Source organism: Homo sapiens, chromosome 4 (assembly GCF_000001405.40).
Source record: "Homo sapiens chromosome 4, GRCh38.p14 Primary Assembly".
Lineage (NCBI taxonomy): Eukaryota > Metazoa > Chordata > Mammalia > Primates > Hominidae > Homo > Homo sapiens.
The window spans coordinates 3,819,445-3,827,739 of NC_000004.12; the positions used below are offsets into that span (position 1 = coordinate 3,819,445).

Here is an 8,295-nt window from a genome sequence, read left to right on the forward strand (position 1 = left end):
TCAAACATGGATGAGACTCAAGGGTGTGATTCATCCTAAGGCAAAATTCCTCTCCAGCTGTGAACCTGTGAAAGCAGACAAGCTACGTGCTTCCAAAACGCCATGGTGGGACAGGCATGGGATAGACATTCCCATTCCAAAAGGGAGAAATCAGAAAGAAAGAGGAAGTGATGGGGGGCACGCATGTCTACAGCTTAGCAAGGCCAATTGCATTCGCTATGAAGGCTGCAGAATCCCCTTCGGCTCCACACTCAGCTCTCCGGGCCCGCTGGGGAGGCAGCGTCACCGCACCACTCGGCAGGCAGGCTTGACACGCGGGTCTCTGAAAGGCCCCTGCCCCCGTGGCTTTGCGGGGCCAGAGTCCCATCCTCAGGACTCTGCAAGGCAGTCCCACCTAAGGCCACCTGGCCAGCTGAATCAAGGCAGTGGCCAGATGATCTCTGAATTCCCTTGGGGTCATTTTTTCTGTCTTCTTCAAGAACGGTCCACATTTGCAGCTGAATAGCATCATCATCCAAAAAACCCAAAAGCCTTCCTTCATTCCACCCCACTCTCCAAACACCGTCCCATCAGGGGTTAGGGCTCCAACGTGTGAATTTTAGGGGGACATGATTCAGTCCACAGCAGCTTTCTCAGGTCCCTGCCCTGCCTCTGGACCCCTCTCCCCGGGCACCTGCTACCCCAAGGGGAATGTCTCTATCTAAATATAATCTAAATCAAACATGGACGAGACTCAAAGGTGTGATTCATCCTCAGCAGACACCTGGTCCCAAAACTGACCCCGCAGTGGGAGCACTGCACCTCTGCCCTCAGAATCCTTGCTGGGGGGCCGAGCCCGCAGAGCAGCATCAGCTGAATCTGCCACAGGGGTCATGCGGGGGAACTCTCTTGGGTGGAAGCTGGCATTGCCTCCAGCACTGGGAGGTCCTGGGCCCCCACTGGTCCATCAACCTTAGGGACACTCCTGCAGGGAAGGATGCAGGAGTCAGGGGAGATGATCAACTCCCAAGGGAGTAAAGGATGCATCACAAACCAAGGTCTATGTTAAGGAGATAAAAGGAGGAGCTGATGGGATAGACTGTGAGTGGCCCGGGCTGGGGCTGGGGTGGGGCCTCTGAACTCCCATTCCAGAGGCAGACCTGCAGCTGTGCATGCCTGCGCCATGGCCCCTGAGCCGCGCCCTCCCTCACCTGCAGGACCCTGAGCACTCACTGGCCCCAGCAGCACCCACCCTCTGTGCACGGCACATGCTTCCGCTCCTTCCCAACATTTCCATCTGCTGCTCCTCTGGCTCAGGGCCCCAGGGACACAGGTCCAACAGGACCCAAATCTACAGAGCCACCGTCCCCAGGCCCAGCATGTGTGGGGCATGTTGGGATGGGGGTGGATCAGGCCAGTCCCCCTCACTCTCAGCACAGGTGCGACAGGAGGGGCCCGGGCCCTGGGAGTGCACAGAAAGGGAAGACCCACCCAGGAGGGAACTTCCCGGAGGCCAAGACCTTGAGCTGGATTGTCAACAATAAGGAAATAACCAGCAAGAAGAGGGGGCAGGGGATGCTCGAGGAAAGGGACAGCAGGTGTGCTGGGAGAACTGCAGGGAGGCCACTGCCGGGACAGGCTCGGGAAGCTGAAGGGCCGGCAGGGACAGGGCACGGAGAGCCGGAGCACAGGCCAGGGGTGCAGAGCTTGCTGAGGGTGCTGGGGAGCCGTGGAGGAATTTAGAGAGGGGGCGGTCTGGGTCAGGTCCAACAGAAGCACGAAGGTGGGTTGGGTGTGAGACTGATGGCGGCATCAGGAGGACGCAGGGATGTGCTGGGTGGTGGTGAAAAGGCCTGGACTGGGCAGAGGCACCGGGCGTGGGGTTAGGGCAGTCCAGAGACGTTTAAGGAACATCACCGGTGGGGTCTGCAGATGGATGGCGTGAGGCGGAGGGTGAGGCAGATTTCTGGCTTGAACAGTGTGAGGATGGAGAAGCGTCAGCCAGGAAGGGGCCAGGGTGGGGTCTGGGGGATGGTGAGCTCAGCATGGCCTGTGGAGCATGTGGCGTCAGTGGGACACATGGGGGAGCTGCCTCAGGGAAGGAGCTGGACCGACACAGGGGACACAGCAGGGGCCTGAGCCCGAGGCTGCCCTCAGAGGCTGCGGACGGTGGAGGCTGCTTTCTGTGGCCTGGAGCGTAGCGGGCAGGGGAGGCTGTGGGCAGGTCTGGCTGATGGAGCGACACAGACTGGGGCAGGCACGGGCGCTGGAGCAGTCTCAGCAGGGCTGGGGCAGGCAGGGGCACTGATGTGGTCTCAGCAGGGGCCAGGCTGGCCACTGGGGTGGTACGCCTGTGCAGGAGGTGGGGTGTGGGCTCCCTGGGGCAGGGAAAGGCAGGGCTGTGTCCTCAGTGACCAGGCTTTGGCTCGGGGGCCTGGAGTCTGACAAAGGCACCTGCTGCTTTGGAAGTGCCCCTCCCCCATCTCATCGGCAGCTCCCCAAGTCCAGGCCAAGCAGCCACTCTTTACTCTCGAGGTCCTGGGTGCAGGCCCAGTGCCAGCCTAGGGGGTGCGGCAGGCCCAGTCCCTAGCACAGCCCATGGTCTCTCAGTGGCTTCCTAACAGGAATGAAGTAACCAAGTAAAAATGCGAGCTTGATTACCTCAAAGGCTGCTCTCTCAGCCTGGACACCCCCACGCAGGTCCTGCCTGAAGCCTCATCCCCCTGGGCCTGGGCTGAAGCTGCTGCTCCTCCCTTGGACCCCAGGGAGGCTGCCCCATGCTCTCGGCCCTCAGCTGCCCTGGGGTCTCCTCCCCGCAACCTCCTACACGCCCCGTCTCCCTCTCCATCTGGTCTTCCCGTCCTCAGAAGGCTGCACTCAGGCCTCCCAGCTGGCCTGGCTCAAGGCCCCACTCCCGGCCTCCCCTCCCACCTGGCAGTGCCCGGGAAATGCCCTATAGGTCCTTAACCAATGGACAGAGGTGCAATCGTCCCGCACCGGCCCGCAGCCTGCCTCCCCTACTCAGCGTGAGCCTGGAACATTCTTGCTGGGGTGTGGCCCAATAACCTCCCGCCATGTAGCTTCCTGCAGCTGCTCAACACACTCTCACACACGTAGTGTCTTCAGACAACACAAGGGTGGCCTCCCAGCTGCCGAGGCCCGAAGTCCCACAGGCAAGGTGCCTGCAGACGTCATTCCTCCTGGAGGCTCAGGGAGAGTCATTTCCTCGATATTTCCACCTTCTCCAGGCACCTGCATTCCCTGGCTCCCTTCCTCCACCTTCAAAGCCAGCCTCGAGACATCTTCAGATCCCTCTCTCTCTCCCTGCAGCCACCAACACGTGCTCTTCTCCGCCCCTTCTCCTCCCGCCCCTCCTTTAACGCTGGCCCTGCACCCACCTGGGAAGTCCAGGATAATCTCCTAATTCCAAGATCCTTAATCTAATCCCCTCTGCCAAGTCCCTCTTACCATGAAAAGTGACATCATCACAGCTGCTAGGGATTAGGGCATGGCATCTTTGGGGGCTGTCTCTCAGCCCCCCATGAGGACCGTCAGTCCTTGAACCCCTCATCACTGGGCCTTTATGTGGTACCCAACATGTCGCTATCACCAAGACCACTTTAGCGAACATGTGATGCCACAGGCCGACCTGAAATTTCACTTGTGATTCCTGCCTCAGGTGTGGAATTCCTGGGTTAAAAGGAACAGAACATTTTAAGGTTTAAAAACACATCTTGCCAGTGGGGCGCGGTGGCTCACACCTGTAATCCCAGGACTTTGGGAGGCCGAGGTGGGCAGACACGATGTCAGGAGTTCAAGACCATCCTGGCCAACACGGTGAAACCCCGTCTCTATTAAAAATACAAAAAATTAGCTGGGCGTGGTGATGGACGCCTGTAGTCCCAGCTACTCGGGAGGCTGAGGCAGGAGAATTGCTTGAACCCAGGAGGCGGAGCTTGTAGTGAGCCGAGATCGCGCCACTGCACTCCAGCCTGGTGACAGAGTGCGACTGGGTCTCAAAACAAAAACCAAACCAAAAACAAAACAAAACAAAACAAAAAACACATCTTGCCAATTCTTCCTCAAAGGCTACAAAGCACACAACTTCCTTGGCCTTCGCTGTGCTTGGGATTGTGGGGTTTGTGTTTGACTTTGTCACTGCGAGGAAGGAGTAGACCGGGCTGCCCTGTGGACCACCTGCCCAGCTCGCCTTGTCTCCCAGCCTCCCGCTTTGGAATCGGACTGGAATCTCCCGTTCTGAATCCAAAGTCCAGTGTGAACCTGTCGGCCGGAAGGAGACCATGTCCCCAACCCAGGCTGCAGATGACACTGGGATGCTGTGGATCTCCAGCCCTTGGGAGGCATCCAGGCATGCTCGGGTGCCCCTTCCAGTGTGGGTGGAGGCCAGCCCTCCTGCTGGCCCCAGAGGCGGGAGCATCAGGCCGTAGAAAAAGGACCAGAGACGGGGACACCCCACTGTGGCCTGTTACCCAGAGAAAGGTGCTAAATGCAGCGACTCCACGTGTGACGAGATCCCACCCGCCTCGGAGCATAGAGGCAGTTAGACAAGTCTGCGACTCGGTGGCCTGGCAGATCAAGTGACTCATTTTGTACAAGTTATTTTTGAGTGCCTCGAAGGCTGGTGAGGAAGCTGCCTGACAGCAGCGGTAATTAGCCTCCCTGCACAGTGCGCCCGCGGGGTTCCAGCCAAGGCGCAGCGAAGCAGCGGCCCCTGCTCCTGGGTGGCACTGCCACACCTGAAGCTCTCAGAACTCTCTCGCCGCCCCAGGACATCGAGACCCTGGGATCTGGGCCCACCTGCCTTCTCAGCCTGCTGGCCCTTGAGCCTGTCTGAAACCTGCACCCGCATGCTGCTCACCTGCCTCCCGTCCCGACTCATTCCTGCACCTGGCTGACCTGTCCCAGGCACACCTCCCTGTCTTGGCTGCTGGACACCCCTGCCATCCTCCCAGGCTCCCCTCAAATGCCCACTTGCAGGGAAGCACCTGCCCTTGCTCCCCACGAAGCCGGGCAGTTCCCAGCCCCCAGCTCACCTCCCTCAGCACTCTCCATGGCACTCTCTCACCACCTCCTTCAAAGGCTTTCTCTACCCGGCTCCTGCCAGCCACCTTGGCCCCTGTCTTCAGGGCTCTCCTCTCCACTGCCCTCCCTGCCGGTGACCTCATTCCCATCAGGCCTGCAAATTCCATCTCTGTCCCAACTCTAAAGCCCATCTCCAGCCTGGATTTGCTCCTGGATCCCTGGATCCACTATCCAGCTGCCTCCGCACCATCTGCACCTGGCTGCCTGCTCCTGAGGCTTCTCAAACTCAACATGCCCCTACGGCGTCCCATCCCCCTCCTGGCCGTTCCCCGCTGGCTCCTCCATCACCAGCGGTGGCTCTACCTTGCTGGGGCCCCAAGCTCATGTCATGGTTGTCTCCTCTCTTCTTCTCATGTCCCACGTCTGGACCATCAGCAAAGCCTGCTAGCTCTTCCCGTTGGCTAAATGTACCCAGAAATGGAAAGCACCTCCCCGTCACTGTGGTTCCACCTGCTCCGAGCCACCATCCCTGGCCTTGGTGGCCGCCGTGGCTCCTTGCTGCTGTCTCCATGGCCACAGAGCCTCCAGAGGGGTCCTGGTCACCTCTGCTCGGCACCTTCCTACACTCCCACCCACTCAGTAACACCCAAAATCCCTCCTGCAGCCTTCAGGAGCTGACGTGACCCCACCTGCGACCTCTCTGACCTCATCATCTCGGTGCTCAGGGCTCCTGCACCCACAGGTTGGCCTGCTCCTGCCTCCGGGTCTTGGCACTTGCTCCTCCCCTGGGGGCTGGTGTGCCCAGCACCCTTACTCACTCCAGGTCTTGCCCAAGTGCCACTTTTGGAACATGGGACCTACAATTTTGTCAGGCCCCTCCTCAACATGTCATCTCCTCTGGGTCGCTGTCCTCCCTCTTGCATTTTCTCTGACTCATTAATCTGGTTTCTATCTGCTTCCCCCCCAGAATGAAAGCACTGCGTGGACAGGAGTTTTTATTGATGATTGATGTATCCCCAGCCCCTAAAACAGGGCCTGCCACATGGTGGGTACACAATAAATATTTGCCAAATGAATGAATGAACAAGTGAATTAGCGTATGCCGCCTAGCCCTCCCAGTGGAAGTCTGACCCTGAGGCTGGGCCACGTGGGGTTGCTCTGACTGGCAGCCCCAGATGCGTCCAGTCTGCCAGTCACCCCAGCCAAGGTGCCAGATGTGAGTGCTGCCACCTTGGCTTTCCAGACCCAGCCACCCACCTGCCGAGTACCACCGAGCGATGCCAGCCAAGGCCGCACGGAGCAGAAGAATCGCCTGGCCAAGCCCCTCCTGAATTTCTGCCCCACAGAACCTGGGGCTTTAATAATGGCTGTTTTGCTCCATGAAATACTGGGTGGTTTATCACTCAGCAACAGAAAACTGGGACATGGGTGAAGGGCCGATGCTACAGGACCAGCTTCAGGCTTCAGCTGTTACAACCCCTGCAAAGGTGCCCCTGTTACAAACCCTGCACAGGAGGCTGTGTTATAACCGCTGCACAGGTGACCCTGTTACAACCCCTGCACAGGATGCCCTGTTACAACCCCTGCACAGAAGGTCCCGTTACAATCTCTGAACAGAAAGTTCCGTTACAATCCCTGCACCCCTGCACAGGAGGCCCCATTAAAACCCCTGCACAGGAGGCCCCGTTAAAATTCCTGCAAGGGAGGCCACATTACAATTCCCGCACGGGAGGCCCCGTTACAATTCCCGCACGGGAGGCCCCGTTACAACCCCTGCACGGGAGGCCCCGTTACAATTCCCGCACGGGAGGCCCCGTTACAATTCCCGCACGGGAGGCCCCGTTACAATTCCCGCACGGGAGGCTCCGTTACAACCCCTGCACAAGAGGCCCTGTTACAACCCCTGCACCAGCTTCGGAGATTTGGAACCTGGTACTTTGCTCTCAGCCTTTGGGTCTTTGGCTGAAATGTCAAGGACCCCAAGGCTGAGAGCAAAGTACCAGGTGCCAAATCCTGGAAAAGTTGCATTGATCATCCTGGCACAAGATCCTGGCTTCTGTGATTAACAAACACTTCTTTGTCGGGGAATTTTGAAAATAATGACTCGCGTTTATGTCGGGATGGTCGTGGGCCCCGCCTCCTGATAAGCACTTTACAAGCCTTCTGTTGTTGCTCATAGCAGCCCAGTCATGGCCCCATTTCACAGGCGAGAAACCAGAGGCCCAGAGAAGTCAAGAATCCCAACCCACCTCTGTCTGGCTCCGACCCCCGCAGACACTGCCTCCTCCCAGGGCTCCTGGTAGCAAATTGTGACTGCATCTGACTCTGAAGGTAGGGACCACACTTCTCCATCTTCCTGGATGGAGAACTCGATCAAGTTTTGAGGACGTGGTTGGATGTAGTGCAGAGGCCACGGTGTCTTGATTCCGATGTCTCGGGTAAGCCACCCCCCAGGGTCTGGTGCCCTGCGTGCGTCAGACACAGAAGCTCATTACCTCACGCTGCTGGAGGCCAGAAGCCCAAAGCCTGGGTGTTGGCGGGACGGTGCTCCCCTCAGGGGCTCCAGGAAGGGCTCTCTCCTGGCCAGGTGCAGCTTCTGGTCATCCTCGGTGCTCCTCAGCTCGGCTGGTCTCTCTCCTGTCTCTGTGTCTCTGCTTTTTCTCTTCTAAGGACATCAGTCATATTGGGATCGGGCTCCCCTGAATCCAGTCTGACCTCATCTTACTTTAAATAATTATGTCTACAAAGACCCGACCTCCAGAGGTCACCATCTGAGTTTCCAGGCAGACATGGAGTGGAGGGGGACAGTATTCACCCCAGAACCCTCCCGAGCCCCTGTCCCTCACCTGCCCGGGGAAGCTCACGTGTCCCCACCTCCTGGGCCGTGTGTCCTTAGGGAGGGGTCCAAAGGGGCTGCCTACAATCCCCCCTGGGCATCCTTCCTGCCCACCTCCCTGAAGAGTTCCAGAGCTGACTCACGTGTGTGTGTGTGTGTGTGTGTGTGTGTGTGTGTGTGTCGGGGCCAAGGGGTGGGGGGCGGGTGCATGCACAAGTCAGAGTGGGAAGGGGCCTTCCTACGGGCCATGCCGTCACCCACTGGCTTGCTCCTGAGATCCAGGAAAGCCGAGCAGGGGCGGCTCCACCCCGTGTGGCCACGGGCCTCCACCCACTTCTCCTGGGCTTTGGGGCCTGGCGACTCTCAAGGAATGTCCTGCAGTGACCTGGGAGCCCTGGGCACAGCTCAGTGGAGGTCACTGGGACCGGCTGGACGAG

The 8,295-nt window shown here is 58.9% G+C and overlaps 2 annotated features.

The window, feature by feature from the left end:
- Positions 708-1,599: an enhancer, noted in NCBI's record as "H3K4me1 hESC enhancer chr4:3821879-3822770 (GRCh37/hg19 assembly coordinates)". NCBI's record gives its function as "activates a minimal SCP1, AML or CMV promoter by ChIP-STARR-seq in naive H9 embryonic stem cells {active_cell/tissue: H9 hESC(naive)}" and the evidence as "EXISTENCE:reporter gene assay evidence [ECO:0000049][PMID:30033119]".
- Positions 1,600-2,492: an enhancer, noted in NCBI's record as "H3K27ac-H3K4me1 hESC enhancer chr4:3822771-3823663 (GRCh37/hg19 assembly coordinates)". NCBI's record gives its function as "activates a minimal SCP1, AML or CMV promoter by ChIP-STARR-seq in naive H9 embryonic stem cells {active_cell/tissue: H9 hESC(naive)}" and the evidence as "EXISTENCE:reporter gene assay evidence [ECO:0000049][PMID:30033119]".